This window comes from Homo sapiens, chromosome 19 (genome assembly GCF_000001405.40).
Source record: "Homo sapiens chromosome 19, GRCh38.p14 Primary Assembly".
Taxonomy (NCBI): Eukaryota; Metazoa; Chordata; class Mammalia; order Primates; family Hominidae; genus Homo; species Homo sapiens.
In genome coordinates, this window is record NC_000019.10 from 35,347,536 (window position 1) to 35,368,973 (window position 21,438).

The window sequence follows — 21,438 nt, forward strand, 5'->3', positions numbered from 1 at the left end:
TGAGAACTTGAATCTTGATTCTTCGGCTTAACTAGCCCGGTGATCTTGGCAGGGCTCGCCAGCTTGCCTGAGTCTCGGCTTCTCCATCTGTAAAGTGGAGAGGGAAAGGCCACTGCCTACCACGCAGGTGGCCCACGATAGGAAGTGAGGCATCGTCTTCTATATGCTGGAGCCACATTGAGACCCAGCACAGAAGCCGAAAGTCCCCCAGAAAACCAACCTCCATCCTTTATTTGCATTTTTCGAAGAATGTGAAAAGGGGAAGCCGATTCAAAACAGCTCTTCCCAAAAGTGACGCTACCCAATTCTTGCACAACCCATAGCTGCCAGAGAAAGTCTTGAAGACCAGCCACCCTGAGAAACCTCACAGCTTTTCTGTCATTCGAGGTCCTCTGCACCCGTTCTCTAATTCTGTTCACTGATTCAGACTTTCCAGTTAGGTGCCCCAGCTCCCCTCTCCGCTTCTCGGGTTTGATCTTTCTCCACCCATTCACCTGCTTCTGCAAAGGGGCTAAAGCCCATTCTCCTTAGAGGGCAGGGGTGTAATTATCTGATCATCAGGGAGATTGGCTCCTGGCACGTGGCAGGTGTCCCCAAACTGCCACCTTCCTCTCCCACCTTCCTTTCCCTCCCATCTCTGCTCAGTACCCGGACGGTAACTCTAGGAATTATGGTTCAGGGAGGCCTTGATCGCCCCATCAATCCACTTTGTCCCTGGTTTGATTCTTGTGAGCACCATTAACTTTTCTGGAGGAAGGTGAGGCTTTAAGAACTGTTTAAAGCCCAGGCGTGGTGGATCACGCCTGTAATCACAGCACTCTGGGAGGCCAAGGTGGGCAGATCACCTGAGGTCAGGAGTTCAAGACCAGCCTAGCCAACATGGTAAAATCCTGTCTCTACCAAAAATACAAAAATTAGCTGAGCGTGGTGATTCACACCTGTAATCTCAGCTACTTGGGAGGCTGAGGCAGGAGAGTCGCTTGAACCTGGGAGGCGGAGGTAGCGGTGAGCCGAGATCACGCCACTGCACTCCAGCCTATGCAACAGAGTGAGACTCCGCCTCAAAACAACAACAACAAAAACTGTTTAAATGAGACAGGAGGGTGTTGGGGTGTCTGTGCCCAAAATGGGGTCTGGTGTCATTCAACTCTTTCTTCATTCATTCTGCACACAGATACTGAGCACCTGGAAATGCACCCAGTACAGAGCCAGTTGTTAGGACACCAAAAAGATAAGGCGTAGGACCAACCTTGGGGATCTCTAGTCGAGAGCCGCCAAGGGTTTTTAAGGCAAGATACCCTGGAGGGAGCTGAGGCAGTCCTAAGCCTGAAGGGCCTGGCTTAAGCTCCCTGGCAACCATCGAGCATCTTCCCCTTCCCACCCTGTCCCTCAGCACAGCTGCTGACATAAACCTACTACATGGCTGATTGACCATGAGATATGGCCATCAATAGACATTGCTGAGGCGTGAAGAGCAGGTGAAGAGCAGGTGGCCAGGAAGCTAGGGGGCCAGGACTCCAGACGCAGGCCGCCCTCCACAACCCCAGCTCTCACAGTCCTCCCAGGGTCCAGACAATGGATCGTGCATTTAGGTTCCCAAACACCTGCTGTGCAACGTGTAGTAGACAAAGCAGACCAAAGCCTTTGCCCTCAGGAGGCCGGCATTCTAGCTCAGGAGCCAGCCAAGACGATGTCGCACTGAAGAAAGACAACAAAAGTGAGATTCACAGGAGGGATGAGTGTGGCTGAGGCACCCGGGAAGGCCCTCGGAGAAGGTGACCTTGGGCAAAGATCCAGACGCCAGGTGGGTGGGGCCAAAGCAGAGAAGATCTGGAAAACCCAATGGCTCCCCAGGGCTTCGCTCTTGCTGCAGGAGGGGAAACCACACTGCTGTGGATTCTTCCTCCATTCTGTCCATTTCTCAGTTCCCAACAACACACTGAACAGTAGGAGGCCAGTTCTCCGCTCACAGCGGGCGCTGCACCCCAGGTGCTGCTCTCGAGAAAAAGGCGAGCATGGACCAATTTAGTGGCTCCGAGGTATGAAAAGCAGTGAGATGGTGTCTTTGAGGGAGTTAGTGATAGGCTGAGACCCCCTTGCTGTCCCCCCTGAAGCCTGGTGACCAGAGCTGCCAGGAGGCCACACAGAGAGAGGTTTATGATGGGGGACCTGGAATTCGGAAGGGGCAGAGTGGTCAGGTGACCCATACACGCCTGAGAAAACTGATGTGGAGAGCTGTGTTGTCATTCTGAGGCAGGAAATAGAGACAGACTGACAGACAGACAGAAAGACACGGGCACATTGAGAGACAGAGACAGAATCACAGAGCAGAGCTGGCTTCTCACCAGCAGGCGTGGGCACACCTGAGAGAGCATCCAGAGAGGTTAGAAATCTTCCTTAGGTCCTCCTGGGAGGCTCAGGTGACCCCAGTGGGAAACATGAAAGGCTGGGAGGACTTCCAGGGCTGAGAGAAGGAAGCTACGCAGCCGGCCGGTGCCACATTCCCTGTGCCTTGGGGAGTGTCCCCCAGTGTCCCCAGCCATGCACCCTGGGGGGAGTCGGCTTGGACATCTGTGCCACCCCTTGACAGGCAGAGTGGGGGCCACAACCTGGGCCCTCCAGTGCTGGTCAGCAGAGGCTGCCCCCGCCCCTTGCCTTCCTCCTCCCGCTCCTTCCTCCAGCCCTGGGAAGGTCGGAAGCCACCACCATGGGGCTAGTGCGGAAGCAGAGGGAGAACAGAGGGGCCCTCCTCGCAAAAACTAAAACAAGCCCACAGCCTGTGCAGAACCGCACCCGGGTGTGATCACTCCTTACCCCACACACCCACTGCCACTTGGAGATGGCTTCATGGCTGCAGTCACAGGGCACCCTGTGTTGTCAGGGGTGAGCCAGTGAGGCCCGGGACCTGCCCAGGGGTGCATCAAGGGTGGAGAAGACCTGGCCCCAGCGCAGGTGTGAACAGGCAGGAGGGCTGGGGAGGGAATAGCGCTGGGTTGTGGCCGAGCCCCCAAGCCCTGCTCTTGAGAGGCACTGGCTACACACTCGGCCCCTACCCAGACAGGACCCCAATTCCTCCCTGGCCCCTCTGTGTTCCTGCATCTTCCCAGCCCCTCACCTCCTCTGGCGTGGCCTCACCTCCAGCCGGGATGCCCCATTAGCTGCTCACCCAAGCTGCTAGAACCTCAGGCTAATGGCCCTGTCACCCGCCCTCCTCCCCTTCCGGCTCACTGCCCATCCCGGGCATCCTCCATCAGCCCGCTGAGGGGACTGCTGAGCCTCAGAGACATCTGGCAGCACCAGGAGGTGGGTCCCTCTCTCTGTGGCTCCTCTCTTCACCTGACTGTTCCCCAGACCCCCAGACCCCCTGCCCAGGTGGCCCCTGAGAACTGCTAAGCTCAACCGTGACATGGATGGGGCCTGGCTGACCCTTGGGCTCTCCCTGGGGGACCCCCTTTTCCTGTCCCTGGCCACACCCTCACCTTATCCACACCCTTCTCCTCCCTGCTGCCCCGCCGGCTTTCCAATGTGGGTGGGGGGTGGGGGCAGCTCCTGCCTTGCCAGGGAACCAGGGAGGGCAGTGGGCTCAGGAGTCAAACTCCCATTCCCAGGGAAGGCTCAGGCTGTGGGCCCAGCCCTGTTCTGAATTCTCTCCACCCCTCCTCCCCACAGAGTCTCAGAAATCGAGAAGCTTTCTTCCTCTGGGACCTGTGCGCCACATCCTATCTCCTGTGACGCTGCAGGAGCTTCCCTGGTTTTAAGAGGTGACATGGTGGAGAGAAAGCACAGGACTGGGGGCCACAGGTCCTGGCTTCTCATCCAGGCTCCGCTGCTCCCTGACTGCTGCCTTTCTCTGTGGGCCTCGTTTCCTCCCTGATCCCACCAGGTGAATTGTAATTCTCCACACAGGGCTGGAACCCGCGAGTGATCCCAGGAGCCCCTCCTCTCCGGGGCCCCAAGATCTGAGGACAGGGAGCCAGGTTGCACACAGGAGCCGTGCAGGCCAGGACGGCGGCCCCATGGACCTGCCCCCGCAGCTCTCCTTCGGCCTCTATGTGGCCGCCTTTGCGCTGGGCTTCCCGCTCAACGTCCTGGCCATCCGAGGCGCGACGGCCCACGCCCGGCTCCGTCTCACCCCTAGCCTGGTCTACGCCCTGAACCTGGGCTGCTCCGACCTGCTGCTGACAGTCTCTCTGCCCCTGAAGGCGGTGGAGGCGCTAGCCTCCGGGGCCTGGCCTCTGCCGGCCTCGCTGTGCCCCGTCTTCGCGGTGGCCCACTTCTTCCCACTCTATGCCGGCGGGGGCTTCCTGGCCGCCCTGAGTGCAGGCCGCTACCTGGGAGCAGCCTTCCCCTTGGGCTACCAAGCCTTCCGGAGGCCGTGCTATTCCTGGGGGGTGTGCGCGGCCATCTGGGCCCTCGTCCTGTGTCACCTGGGTCTGGTCTTTGGGTTGGAGGCTCCAGGAGGCTGGCTGGACCACAGCAACACCTCCCTGGGCATCAACACACCGGTCAACGGCTCTCCGGTCTGCCTGGAGGCCTGGGACCCGGCCTCTGCCGGCCCGGCCCGCTTCAGCCTCTCTCTCCTGCTCTTTTTTCTGCCCTTGGCCATCACAGCCTTCTGCTACGTGGGCTGCCTCCGGGCACTGGCCCGCTCCGGCCTGACGCACAGGCGGAAGCTGCGGGCCGCCTGGGTGGCCGGCGGGGCCCTCCTCACGCTGCTGCTCTGCGTAGGACCCTACAACGCCTCCAACGTGGCCAGCTTCCTGTACCCCAATCTAGGAGGCTCCTGGCGGAAGCTGGGGCTCATCACGGGTGCCTGGAGTGTGGTGCTTAATCCGCTGGTGACCGGTTACTTGGGAAGGGGTCCTGGCCTGAAGACAGTGTGTGCGGCAAGAACGCAAGGGGGCAAGTCCCAGAAGTAACGCCACTGCTCGGGGGAAGGAGCATGGGGCAGGAGGGCCCGGCTGCTTCTCCAGGCCCCTGCGGGGGGCTGCTTCGGAGGAACTGCAGGGCAGCCTGGCCCGGAGGCCTCCCTGGAGCCACTCAAGCAGAGAGCGGCGCCTGCTGAGGGCAGCACCCCAGTCAAGAGAGGAGCACCGAGCCAGAGCACGGTGGCAGGGGGAGGTAAGTTTGCCCCTGCACGTGTCGAGGAAGTTTGTCCCTTCCTCGCCTATCTTTCTCTCCCCTCTGCACGTCCTCACCTGCCTGTCTTCCGTGGGCCGCGAGCAGAGGCCTTGTACTTACGGGAAGGAGGAGGCAGTCTGTTTCTGACCCACAGGAACTGCCACTCCGGTGATGCACTTGAGGACAGCTACTCTGAAATCAGTTCCCAGGAGAGAACATTTGATTTCCGAGTAGGAGAGGAGGCAGGAGGCAGGATAATGACGCTGTTATACCATGTGAAACTCGCAAGGGGGCAGCCTTGGAGCTTGGAACGGAGGCTGGCAGGAAAAGATGCTTCAGCCGGGGAGGGAAAATGCAAGGTCCCGCAGTGATGGGCAAAGGCTACGGAGTTGACTCTTGAACAACGTGGGGATGGGGTGCCGAACCCCACGCAGTGGAAAATCTGTGCATGACTTTGACTCCCCCAAAGTTCAACTACTAATAGCCTACTGTTGACCAAAAGCTTTACCCAGTATATAAACAATTGAGTAAGACATATTTGAAGCCAGGCACAGTGGCTTATGCCTGTAATCCCAGCACTTTAGGAGGCCGAGGCGGGAAGACTGCTCGAAGCCAGGAGTTCAAGAGCAGCCTGGGCAAGATAGTGAGACCCCCACCTCTACAAATAATAAAAATAAAAATAATTAGCTGGGCGTGGTGGTGCGTGCCTGTAGTCCCAGCTACTCAGGGGTCTGAGGTGGGAGGATCCCTTGAGCCCAGGATTGAGGCTGCAATGCCATGATCGCACCACTGCACTCCAGCCTGGGTGACAGAGCAAGATCCTGTCTCTGGAAAAAAAAGAAAAAAGACATATTTTGTATGTTATATATATTATGTGCTGTATTCTTACAATAAAGTAAGCTAGAGAAAAGTACATGTTACTGAAAACATTATTAGAAAGAGAAAATACCTTCACAGCACTGTGCTGTATTTATCAATACTGTAAGTTTTGTTGTCTGTTTATAAGAGAAGTTGTCTGTCTCAAGCGGCAGTAACCGCGGCTGCAGATCTCAATCTGTGGTAGATATCAAGCAGTTCAACCCTTTTTTATAATGTCATGACTTTTCTTTGCTTCTTGGAAGCAGCTCTGGCATCACTAGTGGCCCCGCATTTGGGGCCAAGGGGGTTATTCAAAGTTTACGGTATTGCATTAAACATGGTGAAACATATGCAATGACTATGAAAGATCACTTTTTACTTCTGTACACAGTGTACTGGCGAGAACTGCTCACCAGGAGGTGATTAGCTTCACGTGGTGTTGGAAGCAGATACTCAACAGTTGAGCTCACGGAGAAAGCACAGGAGGTGGCTACGAAATTATTATAGGAGTACAGTATGTCTACAGTAAATATGCACTTATGACTTTAATACTGCACATCTTTATGTTTGCTTGCATTTCTCTTGACTTCAAATGGCATCAAATAGAGTTTGTGTTTGCGTGCATATATTTTTGATAAATTTTAACTTTTTTGTTTTGTTTTGTTTTTAGACAGAGTCTTGCTCTGTCTCCCAGGCTGGAGTGCAATGGTGTGATCTTGGCTCACTGCAACCTCCGCCTCCCAGGTTCAAGCAATTCTCCTGCCTCAGCCTCCCAAGTGGCTGGGATTACAGGCACCTACCACCACACCTGGCTAATTTTTTGTATTGTAAGTAGAGATGGGGTTTCACCATGTTGGCCAGGCCTGTCTCGAACCCCTGACCTCAGTTGACCCACCCGCTTCGGCCTCCCAAAGTGCTGGGATTACAGGCGTGAACCACGGTACCCTGCCAATTTTAACTTTCTATAAGAGATTTGCCCAGCCTGGGCAACATGGAGAAACCCTGTCTTTACCAAAAATACAAAAAATTTAGCTGGGCATGGTGGCGTGTGCCTGTAGTCCCAGGTACTTGGGAGGCTGAGGTGGAAGGATGGTTTCAGCCTGGGACGCAGAGGTTGCAGTGAGCCGAGATCATGTCATTGCACTCCAGCCTGGGTAATAGAGCCAGATCCTGTCTCAAAAAAAAAAAAAAAAAAAGCTTTGTATCCATTTTGGCATACATAGACTAGTATGTATGGCAGTAAATAGACTAGTGGCAGTAAATAGACTAGTACCTACATATATTTTTTGTATTCGTGGCATACTTAACTTTTGCTTAATTTTAAAAATATATTTCTAGGCTTGTAGTTCCTCTGTAAGTTTTTTCAAATTGTTGCAAATCTCTGAAAATGTTTCCAATGTATTTATTGAAAAAAATCCACAAGTAAGTGGACCTGCACAGTTCAAACCTGTGCTATTCAAAGGTCAACTATATAGTCTGTAATACGTGATGGGTGTCACGCTGAGTGTCTACAGTGAGTGTTGTCTCACTTCAGCTTCACACAACGCTGTGGTTTAGCCTTGCCACTGCCGTACGGATGAGCGGGTGTTCACTACACGAAGGTACTGGGCAGAGGAGCAAACACTGACTAAATTCTAGCCTGTGCTTTGCTCAACAAGCCACATGCCTGCCTTGCTTGCATCAAGGGAAGGAGTATTGTGTTCTAATTTGAAGAAATACACCAGCCACTCCTTAGGCAGCACTTGGTGCGGGATGGGCTCCTCTGGAAAGGGAGCACCTAATTTGCACAAAGGTGCTGCACCAGGTAGCTACGATCCTGGAATGGGATGAAGAAACTTGCCTAAGGCCCTACAGCAAGGAAGGGGTAAAAGCAGGATGTGATCCTTCCAAGCAGAACCCCCAAGAGCCAGGGGACATTTGGGAAACCTGGGGGTGTGGGGGTTAACCCTGTATTTGTGGTCCATTTCGCAAAGGATAGCATCCCACATCCATGAGAGGGAGGTCAGAAGGGAGTGGCTGTGGCTGTGAAGGAGACAGACACCTGGGCACCTGCTCTAAATTACAGCAATGCCATGCACATGATGATGTATTGGAGCACAACAAATGGCAGCCACCAGCTGGGGTGCACGCACCAATTTCTACAAATGAGCTCTGTTCAGGCTGAAATGTCTACGCATGCAAGGATTTTTCTTGTAATTGATGATATATCCCCAGCGCCCAGAAGACAGAGTGGCACGCAGTAGGTGCTCAGTAAATGTTCGCTCAATGAATGAATGAATGCCTCTACTAGCCTTCCAAAGAAAGTTCTATGTCTGTTTTATCAATATGGAAACAGGCCAGAGAAATTAAGTAACTTCTTTTGGAAGCCAGAAACAAGCCCGGCACTTGTGCAGTGACAACACCAGGGAATTTCAGTAAAAACCCAAACTCCACCCCAGGGAGCCCCAGTGCCTCCTCCCGCATCACAGGGTGCCAGGGCCCACTCTCTTTGACTCCTGCTCCATAGCCCCTGCTGGGTACTGGGCTGCTTCTCCCAGTTCCTCCTGCCTCCCCCCACTTAGGGCAAATCCAGTGCCTCCCTGGGGCCCAGGAGACTCAGTGTGATCCACCCCAGGCGCCTCTCACTCCTGTGAGACCCAAACCTCCTATCAGCTCCCCCAGCAGGCCAAGTCTGTGCACCCGTGACTCCCCTGCCCCAATGTTCCCTCCAGTGGCTCTTTGCCTCTTCAGTATCCACGTCTTCATGATCCTTCCCCTACTCCATCCCCCAAGCCCTCACCACCAAATGTAATGTAAACAGCATGACAGCAAAAACTTTTTGTTCACAACTGCGTGTTGTTTTTTTTTTTTTTTTTTTTTTTTAGACACAGTCTCACTCTGTTGCTCAGGATGGAGTGCAGTGACACAGTCATGGCTCACTGCAGCCTTGAATTCCTGGGCTCAAGCGATTCTTCCATTTCAGCTTCCCAAGTAGCTGGGACCAGAGGCACATGCCACTAAACCCAGCTAATTTCTTTTTTCTTTCTCTCTTTTTTTTTTTTTTTTCCCCTGTGGACATAGGGTCTCCTCATGTTGCCCAGGCTAGTCTCAAACAACCTGTGCTCAAGCAATCCTCCCACCTCAGCCTGCCAAAGTGCTAAAATTACGGACCTGAGCCACCGTACCCAGCCTACTGCTGCACTTTTAACAGCTTAATTGAGATATTATGTACATATCATCAAATTCACCAATGTTAAGTGTACAATTCAATGATTTTTAGTAAATTTACTGAGGTGTGAGTCCATTACCATCAGCTAGTTTTAGAACATTTTCATGACCCTAGTAAAGGATTTTACTTCATGTTCATTTAAACTTAATCTTGGGCCAGGCGGGGTGGCTCACGCCTATAATCTCAGCATTTTGGGAGGCTGGGGTGGACGGATCACCTGAGGTCAGTAGTTCGAGACCAGCCTGGCCAACATGGCGAAACCTCATCTCTACTAAACATACAAAAATTAGCCAGGCGTGGTGGCGGGCACCTGTAATCCTAGCTACTTAGGAAGCTGAGGCATGAGAATTTCTTGAACCCGGGAGGCAGAGTTTGCAGTGAGCCAAGATTGCACCATTGCACTCCAGCCTGGGCGACAACAAGACCCTGTCTCAAAAAAAAAAAAAAAAAAAAAAAAACAACTTAATCTTCATTTCTACCTCCATCCCCCAGACAACCACGAGTCTACTTTCTGACTCTATAACTTTGCCTATTCTGGACATATCATATAAATAAATGAAATCTGACAATATATGTACATGGTCTTTTACGTCTGGCTTGTTTCACTCAACATAAGGCTGTAGTGTGTATGGGTAGCTCATTCCTTTTCTTTGCCAAATAGAATTCCAGTATATGGATGTGCCACTTTTTTATTCACTCACCAGCTGATGGGCTGCCAGGTAACATTTCCACTGTTGGTGACTATGACCAACACTGCTGTGAACATTTAGGACTGAGTCTTTAAGTAGACCTGAGTTTCCACTTCTCTTAAGTAAATACCTACGGTGGAATTGTTGGATCGCATGGTGAATTTATGTTTAACTTTTTAAGCAACTGCCACCTGCTTTCCAAAGCAGGGACACCACCTCCCATTATTCTCACCAGCAGTGAATGAGGCCCCTATCTCTCTACATTCTCGCCGACCATAGGCATTGTCTGACTTTTTGCTTGTGGCCATTCTAGTGGATGTGAAATCATATCTCATTGTGCCCTGTGATTGTTTGAATGAACTAATAGATCACCTGTGAAACTGGACAGCACTTGGGTTTGAACCCTAGTGGTGACATTTCACAAGCTGTATCACCTGGAGCAAGTCACTTCCCTACGGTGAAGGACAAGGATTTTATGACATAAAAGCGTTGCCCTAGAAGCAGTGTCTGCTATGGATTATGTGCCCATGAAAAGGCAGCTGCTGTCATCATCGCCACCACCATTATTATTGTTATTATTATTACATTGTCACCCCAGAGATAATCCTGCACCAGTGACAGGGAAAATAGCAGCTGGCATCCGCTGCCTGCTCACGACCACACGCCAGGCTTCCGTCAAACCACTCAACATGTATTAGTAATCTTTTAATCGACCTACATATTGTTTTAATTTGCATGTGTTAATGCGTTGATCTATGAGATGGGTATTATGATGAGCTCTGTTCTGCAGGGGAGAAAGCAGAAACATGGAGAATTTAAGTCATTTCCCCCAAATCACAAAGTCAGGAAGAAACAGACCTCACGGAGCTCGCTCTCTGTCATTGCATCACACTTCCTGCCCTTACAAGGCAAATTGGATAAATGCCATTCTAGAGAAGCAGACAAAATTCAAGTGAAGAAGGGGAGAGGAAGACGTCGGCTGGGGCCTGCTTAGAGCATCCCAGCTGAGACTGCATGAGGAGGGAGGCACGCAGTTGTGGAATTTGTTCCCCTTTTAGCATGCTGACCAGCCCTGGCAACGGAGCTCAAGGCATCTATGTGCCACTGCTCAACAGTGAGTGACGTCATGGGCACGGCCAGGTCTTTATCAGTTCTGCCGGATAAATAGCCAACTGCACTAGGTCTGGAGAGACAGCAAGGTGCTGTGCGGCAGAGCATTTGGGGTCTCAAAGAAGCAGGTGAGCCTGGGCCCGAGGGGCTGGGTGGAGGAGCACCTTGGTGCTTCTCTGCTGGGGAAGGGACAGGGGACAGGGCATGCTCAGGAAGACAGGCAGGCTGACCCCGCCTGGAAGGCACCCAGAGACAAGAGGGGTGGGCGTAGTGACCTCGTGCCCTTTTAGGGGAGATGCTGCTGGCCAGAGGCCGTTAGGGCCCCCACTACCAACTCCATGTTACTCTCTCTCACCAGTGGCCACCACCATGGATACAGGCCCCGACCAGTCCTACTTCTCCGGCAATCACTGGTTCGTCTTCTCGGTGTACCTTCTCACTTTCCTGGTGGGGCTCCCCCTCAACCTGCTGGCCCTGGTGGTCTTCGTGGGCAAGCTGCAGCGCCGCCCGGTGGCCGTGGACGTGCTCCTGCTCAACCTGACCGCCTCGGACCTGCTCCTGCTGCTGTTCCTGCCTTTCCGCATGGTGGAGGCAGCCAATGGCATGCACTGGCCCCTGCCCTTCATCCTCTGCCCACTCTCTGGATTCATCTTCTTCACCACCATCTATCTCACCGCCCTCTTCCTGGCAGCTGTGAGCATTGAACGCTTCCTGAGTGTGGCCCACCCACTGTGGTACAAGACCCGGCCGAGGCTGGGGCAGGCAGGTCTGGTGAGTGTGGCCTGCTGGCTGTTGGCCTCTGCTCACTGCAGCGTGGTCTACGTCATAGAATTCTCAGGGGACATCTCCCACAGCCAGGGCACCAATGGGACCTGCTACCTGGAGTTCCGGAAGGACCAGCTAGCCATCCTCCTGCCCGTGCGGCTGGAGATGGCTGTGGTCCTCTTTGTGGTCCCGCTGATCATCACCAGCTACTGCTACAGCCGCCTGGTGTGGATCCTCGGCAGAGGGGGCAGCCACCGCCGGCAGAGGAGGGTGGCGGGGCTGTTGGCGGCCACGCTGCTCAACTTCCTTGTCTGCTTTGGGCCCTACAACGTGTCCCATGTCGTGGGCTATATCTGCGGTGAAAGCCCGGCGTGGAGGATCTACGTGACGCTTCTCAGCACCCTGAACTCCTGTGTCGACCCCTTTGTCTACTACTTCTCCTCCTCCGGGTTCCAAGCCGACTTTCATGAGCTGCTGAGGAGGTTGTGTGGGCTCTGGGGCCAGTGGCAGCAGGAGAGCAGCATGGAGCTGAAGGAGCAGAAGGGAGGGGAGGAGCAGAGAGCGGACCGACCAGCTGAAAGAAAGACCAGTGAACACTCACAGGGCTGTGGAACTGGTGGCCAGGTGGCCTGTGCTGAAAGCTAGGTCCTCCGGGGGAGGAGGGTGTAGCTGGCATGTCATCCTCAGGGCGCTTCCTCGCTCACGCCAGGAGGGACTTGGAGTGGCGAGCTGGGGCCCGATGGGGCTTGGGGGCAGAGTAGACATCTAGCCTCCCTAAGGGTATGCGCGCTAAAGCCCAGCTCTCGATCTCACCTCCATCCCCATCCACCCACACACTATGGATTGGGCTCTGGGAAGGGGTCAGGGTGAGAGGCTGCTCTGGAGAACAATGAGGTCCTCATAGCAGCAGGCAGCTCCTGTGTTTTCTTGAGGGTGGCAGAGGAGCTAAGAGCAGTGCCCAGGGTCTGAGGGGGCTGCCCAGTGAGTGGCAGGGGCAGGAGAGGGGAGAACCCCATCCTCAGAGCTGCTCCCAGCCAGCGAGTCAGGAGCGGGGGAGACAGGGCTCCAGGGATGAGGCCGCATTCTGCTCCCACAGCGCCTTTTCCAGAAAGTTCCCATTGCTCAATAAATGTGGATCATCAGAGACATTTATGAACAATGACAGAAGAAAAATTACCCAAATAAATGTGGAAGCAAGCAAAAGAGAACAGTGTTTCCTTCTTCTCCTGTTTTGTTCTGGTGGTGTGCTTGGGCCGGGTGGGACTGGTGGATGGAAGGAGAAAACACCAGACTCTGGAGGAAAAGGGCCAAACACCAGGATGCCTGGATGCTGGGAGAGGATCTGGCTTGCAGGGATGAAAATAACAGCTGCCCTGTCTAAAGGACTTGGCCTGACACATCATCTCCTTCTATCTCTCAATAGCCCTGTGAGAGGTACCAGCATTATCCCCAGTTTCAGATGAAGGAGTGGCCCAGAGAGGTGACACCTCCTACCTGAGATCCCATAGCTGGTGGGCGATTGAAGTGGGACCAGAAGCTGGTGTCAGTTGACTCTGACACCCATGCCCCTAAGCCACTCTGCTGTTCTCCATCTGTGTGTCACCTGTGGTCACCTGGCCCAGTCAAATGTCCCAAGTCAGATAAGTCTGTCTGAGCAGGACAAATATAAACAGGCCATGATAAGAAACAGAACTAAATGCAAAGCGTATTGACTATTTGTGTGGGTTCAACCTTTTCCCAGTAAAAAAGCCCTCTTGGAAAAAAAGAAAAAAAGATAATTAGTCAGCACAATGGACTTCAGGTTTCTGCAAAGTCAGAGAGATGTTCCTCAGAGCTCTATTCATCAAAATATGGCCATTCAGGAAGTTTTCATGTTCCCTGAGTGGTGGCCCATGAGAAATAGCTGGTCAGGACCTCCTCCCCAAGCAAGGCCACCTGAGACTCGCCAGCCCCTGTTTGCATGCTGTCAGCAGTATTTCAGAAGCATTTGTTGAACACCTATTGCATGCAGATGGCTGGGCTCAGAACTTCGGGGAGTTCGACACTAAGGTCTTTAAATATCTGCTTCCTCCCTGGGGTTAAGTGTGCCGGGAGAATGAAGACTGGCTGTGTGTGGGGAAGTGGATTTCAGGTGGAAGGAGAGGGACTCTGTGGAGAGTTGAAACCATGAGCTGTCTCTCTGTCCCACGGCTCACCTGTCCATCCCCAGGGCACTCAGCCCTGGTGGCTGCAAAGAAGTTGATGCAGGTAGGGGTGTTCATGGCTCAGAAAGGGGACAAAGGTGCCATGGAATCCTGCAACTTCAGAATGGGCACCGCCACCCCAAGGCAGAGAACAGAAAAACTGAAAACCTCACAGTCGAAAGAGAGCCATGAAGAGCTGGAGTCTCCCTCCTCCCCCAGGTTTATAAGAGGGAATAAGAGGCAGCTTCATGGGCTTTGCTGTCCCCAGCTATCTCCCAGCCCAGCCCAGTCTGTATAAGCAAAAGCCCAGGGGTGGGGAAGATGAAAAGCCATCAGGGTGTGGGTGATCGTGGGAGTGGGGGTGAGGAGGATGTTGGAGCATTTTCCATACATCTCAGAAGCCCAGGGAACGGGGCTGTCATAGAACGGGAGATGCATCTGGGGCTGCCGCTTGGTGCCATCTAGGTGGGGTGGGAGAAAGGCAGAGAGAGGAGGTGGGAGAAGACTGTGGGGGGTGCAGCAGCTGGCACCCTCTCCATCGGGCAGAGCAAGTAGGTGTGAATCTCCCATGGGTGAAGCGATCACACGCAAAAAGGAGGGAGATGGCATCTTTGGAGGGAGGTGGTGATAGGCTGAGACCCCCTCGTTGTCCCCCCCGAAACCTGGTGACCGGAGCTGCCAGGAGGCCACACAGAGAGAGGCTGATGATGGGGGACCTGGAACCTGGAAGGGGCAGAGTGGTCAGATGACCCACACACGCCTGAGAAAACAGATGTGGAGAGGCTGTGTTGTCATTCTGAGGCAGGAAACAGAGACAGACAGACAGACAGACAGACACCGGCACAGTGAGAGACAGAGACAGATTCACAGAGCAGAGCTGGCTTCTCACTGGCAGGCATGGGCACACCTGAGAGAGCATCCAGAGAGGTTAGAAATCTTCCTTAGGTCCTCCTGGGAGGCTCAAGTGGCCCCACCGGGGAGCTGAACAGCTGGCTGGATTTCCAGGGTTGAGAGAAGGAAGCTGCGCAGCCGGCCAGGGCCACATCCCCTGTGCCTCAGGGAGGGACCCCCAGTGTCCCCACCACACTCCCCAGGAGGAGTCCTTGGAGTTGAGGCCACTGCCTGAGTCCTCCAGTGCCAGCCAGCGGAGGTTGCTCCCGTCCCTTGTCTTCCTCCTCCCCATCCTTCTGCCAGCCCTGGAAAGGTCAGAAACCACCATTGCGGAGCTAGAGGGGAAGGAGAGGCAGAACAGAGGGGCCTCTCCTCGCAAAAACTAAAATAAGCCCACAGCCTGTGCAGAACCGCACCCGGGTGTGATCACTCCTTACCCCACACACCCACTGCCACTTGGAGATGGTTTCACGGCTGCAGTCACAGGGCACCCTGTGTTGTCAGGGGTGAGCCAGCAAGGCCCGGGGCCTGCCCAGGGGTACATTGAGGGTGGAGAAGACCTGGCCCCAGTGCAGGTGTGAACAGGCAGGAGGGCTGGGGAGGGAATAGCGCTGGGTTGTGGCCGAGCCCCCAAGCCCTGCTCTTGAGAGGCACTGGCTACACACTCGGCCCCTACCCAGACAGGACGCTGATTCCTCCCTGGCCCTTCTGTGTTCCTGCATCTTCCAAGACCCTCACCTCCTCCAGTGCCGCATCAGCTCCAGCCAGGATGCCCCATCAGCTTCTCACCCAAGCTGCTAGAACCTCAGGCTAATAGCCCTGTCATTCCAGCTCACTCCCCCCGTCCCCTTCTGGCTCACTGCCCATCCTGGGCATCCTCCATCAGCCCGCTGAGGGGACTGCTGAGCCTCAGGGACATCTGGCAGCACCAGGAGGTGGGTCCCTCTCTCTGTGGCTCCTCTCTTCACCTGACTGTTCCCCAGACCCCCAGACCACCCCTGCCCAGGTGGCCCCTGAGAACTGCTAAGCTCAACCGTGACATGGATGGGGCCCAGCTGACCCTTGGGCTCTCCCTGGGGGACCCCCTTTTCCTGTCCCTGGCGACACCCTCACCTTATTCACACCCGTCTCCTCCCTGCTGCCCCGCCGGCTTTCCACTGTGGGTGTCGGGGGGTCAGCTCCTGCCTTGCCAGGGAACCAGGGAAGGCAGTGGGCTCAGGAGTCAAACTCCCATTCCTAGAGAAGACTCAGGCAGTGGGCCCAGCCCTGTTCTGAATTCTCTCCACCCCTCCTCCCCACAGAGTCTCAGAAATCAAGAAGCTTTCTTCCTCTGGGACCCACGCGTGAAGTCCTATCTCCTGTGACCCTGCAGGTGCTCCCCTCATTTTAAGAGATGATGTGGAGAGAAAGCACAGGACTGGGGGCCACAGCTTCTCATCCAGGCTCCGCTGCTCCCTGGCTGCTGCATTCCTCTGTGGGCCTCCGTTTCCTCGGTGATCCCACCAGGCGAATTGTAATCCTCCAGGCAGGGCTGGAACCCATGAGTGATCCCAGGAGCCCCTCCTCTCTGGGGCCTCAAGATCTGAGGACGGTGAGCCAGTTGTACACAGGAGCCGTGCAGGCCAGGACGGTGGCCCCATGGACCTGCCCCCGCAGCTCTCCTTAGCCCTCTATGGGACCACCTGGCTTGTTTCACTTAGCGTAATATTTTAAAGATTCACTCGTGATATAGTACAGCAGTCCCCAAACTTTTTGGCACCAGGGACTGGTTTTGTGGAAAACTATTTTTCCATAGACCTCAGGGGAGTGGGGGGATGGTTTTGGGATGAAACTGTTCCACCTCAGATTGTCAGACATTATTTAGATTGCCATAAGGAGCGCGCAACCTAGATCCCTCGCATGTGCGGTTCACAATAGGGTTTGCGCTCCTGTGGGAATCTAATGCTGCCGCTGATCTGACAGGAGCTCAGGCGGTCATGCCAGCTTGTCTGCCCACTGCTCACCTCCTGCTGTGTGGCTGGGTTCCTAACAGACCACTCACCTGCACGGGTCTGCAGCCCGGGGTTGGGGAGCTCTGACGCAGTAGGTATAGGCAGCTCATTCCTTTTTATTGCCAAATAGAATTCCAGTGTATGGATGTGCCACTATTTTTATCCACTAACTAGCAGAAGGGCCTCCAGGTGAGGTTTCCACTTTTAGTTCTTTTTCTTTTTCTTTCTTTTCTTCTTCTTTTTTTTTTTTATACTTTAAGTTCTGGGATACATGTGCAGAACATGCAGGTTTGCTACATAGGTATACATGTGCCATGGTGGTTTGCTGCACCCATCAACCCGTCATCTAGGTTTTAAGCCCCACACGCATTAGGTATTTGTACTAATGCTACCCCTCCCCTTGCCGCCCATGCCCCGACAGGCTGCGGTGTGTGATGTTCTCCTCCTTGTGTCCATGTGTTCTCATTGTTCAGCTCCTGCTTATGAGTGAGAACATGCAGTGTTTGGTTTTCTGTTCCTGTGTTAGTTTGCTGAGAATTACTTTTGGTTCTTATGATGTATGCTGCTACAAACATTGAGGACTGAGTCTTTGCTTAGACAAATGTTTTCACTTATTTTAAATAAATACCTATGGTGGAATTATTGGATCACATGTTAAATTGATGTTTAACTTTTTAAGAAACTGCCACCTGCTTTGCAAAGCAGCTGTACCATCTGACATTCTCAGCAGCAATGAGAGGCCCCTGTTTCTCCACATCCTCACCATCACTTGTTATTGTCTGCCTTTTGCTTATAGCCATTCTAGTGGATGTGAAATGGCATCATTGTGCTCCGTAAGTATTTGAATGAAGAAATAAATTACCTCTGCACTGGAGAGCACTTGGGTTTGAACCCGGGTGGTGATATTTAATAAGCTGTATCACCTGGAGCAAGTCACTTCCCCACTGTGAGGCACAAAGGATTTCATGACAATAGGGGATGCCTTGAGAAGTGGAGTATCTCTGGATCTGTGGATTATATGCCTACCGAAAAGCAGTTGTTATCATCACCACCGCCACCATTATTATTATTACTGTCACCCCAGAGACATGCCCACACCTGTGACCTGGATGCTGGCAGCTGACAGGTGCTGAACACACACCATCACATGCCAGGCCTCCTTCAAAGTACTTGACACAGCTCTTATATGGGATTTCACAAAGGGCGGCACCCAACTCTCCCTCACTACAGGAGCAGCAGGGTCTCAGCAATGTAGGACAGTTCACAGAGTTGCATGCTCTGGACTTGGGGTAGAGACTCTGCCATGATGCCTATCTTAATTGTAGCTGGCAGAGAGGCGGATCTACAGTCCACAACAGCACTTTGGCTGGGAACCAAAGGATGAAGACTTTATAACCAGAAGGTCATGTGCCATGTAACAGGGGTGTAGGGAAGTAGATCATGCTTCTGTTGGCTTAGGACAAGGAGCTGGTGCACCCCTTACCCCTTTCTGTGTCACTTCAGAGCACCCCATCACGATCTCTTCCTGCCACTCCTGTCAAGGAAGGTGTGACCACTGGGCCCTGGCCTACCTGCCAGCTCTTCTTAAGTGCCATCTACTAGACTTCAGCTTAAATTGCACCACGAAACAAAAATATATTGCTACAACATGCGGCATCTGAGAAAGCAACCGCATGAACCTATCTGCAACCAAGAACTTGTACAGAGCCTTGGCCCTCCGAAAGCATCCAGAAATGAAGCCAGTTGATCATACACAACACACACCATAGTCATACCTTCAACAGAAAAAAAGAATAAAAAAATTAAAAAGCCCCACCCAAATGAAAGCAAATTTTGAAAAAGAAGCATCAGCCCTCTCAGATGAGAAGGAATCAGCACAGGACTCTGGCAGTACAAAAAGCCAGAATGTTTTGTCACCTCCAAAGGATCTCACTAGCTCCCTAGAAATGTATCCTGACCAAATTGAAATGCTGAAAATGACAGATCTAGAATTCAGAATGTGAGTGGCAAGGAAACTCAGCAAGACCCAAGAGAAAGTTGAAATGCAATACTAAGAAGCCGTAAAAATGAGCCAGGATGTGAAAGATATATATATAGGGGGGGAAAAAAACTATATATAGAGAGAAAGAACCAAAACACAAAAAGAATCAAGCAGAACTTCTGGAATTGAAAAATTTACTACAGGAATTTCAAAATACTGTTGGACACCTCAACAATAGACTAGACCAAGTAGAAGAATTTCAGAGGCAGAATGAATTTTTTAAATTAACCTAGTCACACAAAAATAAAGAAAAATAATTTTAAGAAATGAACAAAGGCTTTGAGAAGTATAGGATTATGGGAAATGACCAAACTATGACCCACTGGCATTCCTGACAGAGAAGAAGAAAAAATAAGCAACTTGGAAAATGCATTTTAACGTATAATTCAGGAAAATGTCCCTAATCTTGCTAAAGAGGTCAACATGCAGATATAAGAAATTCAGGGACTGCCTGAGAGGTACTATACAAAATGACCATCCCCAAGGCACATAGTCATGAGACTGCATGAAAGAAAAATATCTTTAAGGAAGCTAGAAAAAAGAGCCAAATTACCTATAAAGGAAGTCCACTCAGAATAACAGTGGATTTCTTAGCAGAAGTCTTACAATTTAGAAGAGATTGGGTGCCTATTTTTGGCTTCTTTTTTTTGATGGAGTCTTACTCTGTTGCCCAGGCTGGAGTGCAGTGGTGCGATCTTGGCTCATGGCAAACTCTGCCTCCCGGGTTCATGCAATTCTCCTGCCTCAGCCTCCCAAGTAGCTGGGATTACAGGCATGTGCCACCATGCCCGGCTAATTTTTTTGTATTTTTAGTAGAGACGGGGTTTCACCATATTGGCCAGGCTGGTCTCAAACTCCTGACCTTGTGATCCACCCACCTCAGCCTCCCAAAGTACTGGGATTACAGGTGTGAGCCACCACGCCCAGCCTTCTAGGCTTCTTAAAGAAAAAATGCCAGCCAAGAATTTCATATCCTACCAAACTAAGTGTCACAAAGGAGAAATAAAATCTTTCCTAGACAATCAAATGGTAAGAGAATTCATCACCACCAGACTGGTCCAACAAGAAATGCTCAAAGAAGCTGTAAGCATGAAAACAAAAGAATGATACTTGCTACCACAAAAGCACACATAAGTACAAAGCCCACAGACCCTATAAAGCAACTACCCAACCAAGACTACAAAGTAATTAACTAACAACACGAAGATAAATCACAACAGGGACAAAACCTCACATATTAACCTTGAATGTAAATGGCCTATACACTCCACTTAAAAGACATAGTGTGGAAAATTGGATAAAAATATGAGACCCAACCTTCTGCTGTCTTAAAGAGACCCATCTCACATATAATGATACCCAAACCCTCAAAGGGTTGGAGAAAGATCTCTCATGCAAATGGAAAACAAAGGGTTGCTATTGTTGTATGAGATAAAACAGACTTTAAACCAACAACAGTAAAAAAGCACAAATAAGGGCACTTCCTAATGATAAAGGGTTCGATTAAACAAGAAGATTTAACATCCTATATATATAAACACCCAACGCTGGAGTACCTAGATTTATAAAACAATTACTACGATACCTAAGAAAAGAGATGGACAGCCACACAATAATAGTGGGGTTCTTCAACAGCCCATTGACAGCATTAGACAGATCATTGAGGCAGAAAACTAACAAAGAAATTCTGGACTTAAATTGGACACATGATCAAATGGACCTAATAGACATCTACAGAATACTCTACCCAACAACCACAAAATATACGTTCTTCTCATCTGCACACAGAAGATACTCTAAGATTGACCCAATGCTTAGTCATGAAGCAAATCTCCATAAATTTAAAGAAATGAAAATTATACCAACCTTCTTCTCAGACCACAGTGGAATAAAAATAGAATTCTCAAAATCACACAAATACATGGAAACTAAACAACTATTTCCTGAATGACTTTGGGGTAAGTCATTAAGGAAGAAGTCAAAAAATTAAGGCAGAAGTCAAAAACTTCTTTGAAACAACTGAAAATAGAGGCACAACATACCAAAACCTCTGGGATACAGCAAAAGCAGTTTTAAGAGGAAATTTTATATCACTAAATGCCTACATCAAGAAGTTAGAAAGATCTCAAATTAATAACCTAACATTACACCTGAAGGAACTAGAAAAACAAGAGCAAACTAAATCCAAAGCTAGCAGAAGAAAAGAAATAACTAAAATCAGAGTAGAGCTAAACGAAATTGTGACAAATAAGCCATTCAAAGGATCAATGAAATGAAAAATTGGTTCTTTGAAAGAATAAACAAGATTTATAGGCTGCAAGCTAGATTAACAAAGGAAAAAAAAAAACCTCCAAAAAAGCACAATCAGAAATAACACAGACAAGATTACAACTAATTCCACAGAAATACAAAAGATCCTCAGAGACTGCGATGAACATCTATATTCACATGAATCAGAAAATCTAGAGGAAACAAATAAATTTCTGGAAACATACAACCAAGATTGAACCAGAAAGAAATTGAAACTCTGAGCAGACCAATAATGAGTTACAAAATTGAATCAGTAATAAAATATCTACCA

General features: G+C 51.3%; 2 protein-coding genes across 4 annotated transcripts, besides 7 other annotated features; both read left to right on the forward strand.

Annotated features, from left to right (window-relative positions):
- Positions 139–218: an enhancer, noted in NCBI's record as "active region_14475". NCBI's record gives its function as "activates an Ori minimal core promoter by ATAC-STARR-seq in GM12878 lymphoblastoid cells {active_cell/tissue: GM12878}" and the evidence as "EXISTENCE:reporter gene assay evidence [ECO:0000049][PMID:35858748]".
- FFAR1 (free fatty acid receptor 1) lies at positions 367–6,329 on the forward strand. Of its 2 annotated transcripts, none has more exons than NM_005303.3 (2): positions 367–3,303; positions 3,670–6,329. In NM_005303.3, the coding sequence occupies exon 2, from the start codon at positions 4,017–4,019 to the stop codon at positions 4,917–4,919; it is 903 nt and encodes a 300-aa protein (NP_005294.1). In that variant the 5' UTR covers positions 367–3,303; positions 3,670–4,016; the 3' UTR covers positions 4,920–6,329. The 2 variants fall into 2 exon arrangements, with proteins under 2 accessions (NP_005294.1, XP_047294654.1); XM_047438698.1 differs by having other exon boundaries at positions 3,907–6,031.
- Positions 1,497–1,697: a silencer, noted in NCBI's record as "peak3448 fragment used in MPRA reporter construct". NCBI's record gives its function as "represses an SCP1 promoter by STARR-seq MPRAs in K562 erythroleukemia cells {active_cell/tissue: K562}" and the evidence as "EXISTENCE:reporter gene assay evidence [ECO:0000049][PMID:32103011]".
- Positions 2,632–2,681: an enhancer, noted in NCBI's record as "active region_14476". NCBI's record gives its function as "activates an Ori minimal core promoter by ATAC-STARR-seq in GM12878 lymphoblastoid cells {active_cell/tissue: GM12878}" and the evidence as "EXISTENCE:reporter gene assay evidence [ECO:0000049][PMID:35858748]".
- Positions 2,722–2,861: an enhancer, noted in NCBI's record as "active region_14477". NCBI's record gives its function as "activates an Ori minimal core promoter by ATAC-STARR-seq in GM12878 lymphoblastoid cells {active_cell/tissue: GM12878}" and the evidence as "EXISTENCE:reporter gene assay evidence [ECO:0000049][PMID:35858748]".
- Positions 4,651–5,517: an enhancer, noted in NCBI's record as "H3K27ac-H3K4me1 hESC enhancer chr19:35843089-35843955 (GRCh37/hg19 assembly coordinates)". NCBI's record gives its function as "activates a minimal SCP1, AML or CMV promoter by ChIP-STARR-seq in naive H9 embryonic stem cells {active_cell/tissue: H9 hESC(naive)}" and the evidence as "EXISTENCE:reporter gene assay evidence [ECO:0000049][PMID:30033119]".
- Positions 7,494–7,593: a silencer, noted in NCBI's record as "silent region_10525". NCBI's record gives its function as "represses an Ori minimal core promoter by ATAC-STARR-seq in GM12878 lymphoblastoid cells {active_cell/tissue: GM12878}" and the evidence as "EXISTENCE:reporter gene assay evidence [ECO:0000049][PMID:35858748]".
- FFAR3 (free fatty acid receptor 3) lies at positions 10,616–12,954 on the forward strand. 2 transcript variants are annotated; one of them, XM_011526858.3, is made up of 2 exons: positions 10,616–10,990; positions 11,345–12,954. In XM_011526858.3, exons 1-2 carry the CDS (start codon positions 10,891–10,893, stop codon positions 12,394–12,396), a joined length of 1,152 nt encoding a protein of 383 aa, XP_011525160.1. In that variant the 5' UTR covers positions 10,616–10,890; the 3' UTR covers positions 12,397–12,954. The 2 variants fall into 2 exon arrangements, with proteins under 2 accessions (XP_011525160.1, NP_005295.1); NM_005304.5 differs by having other exon boundaries at positions 10,925–11,114.
- Positions 12,246–12,773: an enhancer, noted in NCBI's record as "H3K4me1 hESC enhancer chr19:35850683-35851210 (GRCh37/hg19 assembly coordinates)". NCBI's record gives its function as "activates a minimal SCP1, AML or CMV promoter by ChIP-STARR-seq in primed H9 embryonic stem cells {active_cell/tissue: H9 hESC(primed)}" and the evidence as "EXISTENCE:reporter gene assay evidence [ECO:0000049][PMID:30033119]".
- Positions 12,955–21,438: the final 8,484 nt, after the last annotated feature.

What these genes read in the sequence shown, in the direction of transcription:
- FFAR3 (XM_011526858.3), top strand. Translation starts at nt 10,891, where the DNA reads ATGAGGAGGGAGGCACGCAGTTGTGGAATTTGTTCCCCTTTTAGCATG. An exon ending in CTATGTGCCACTGCTCAACA is followed by an intron (nt 10,991 to 11,344) that starts GTGAGTGACGTC and finishes CTCTCTCACCAG; the next exon opens with TGGCCACCACCATGGATACA.
- FFAR1 (NM_005303.3), top strand. Translation starts at nt 4,017, where the DNA reads ATGGACCTGCCCCCGCAGCTCTCCTTCGGCCTCTATGTGGCCGCCTTT.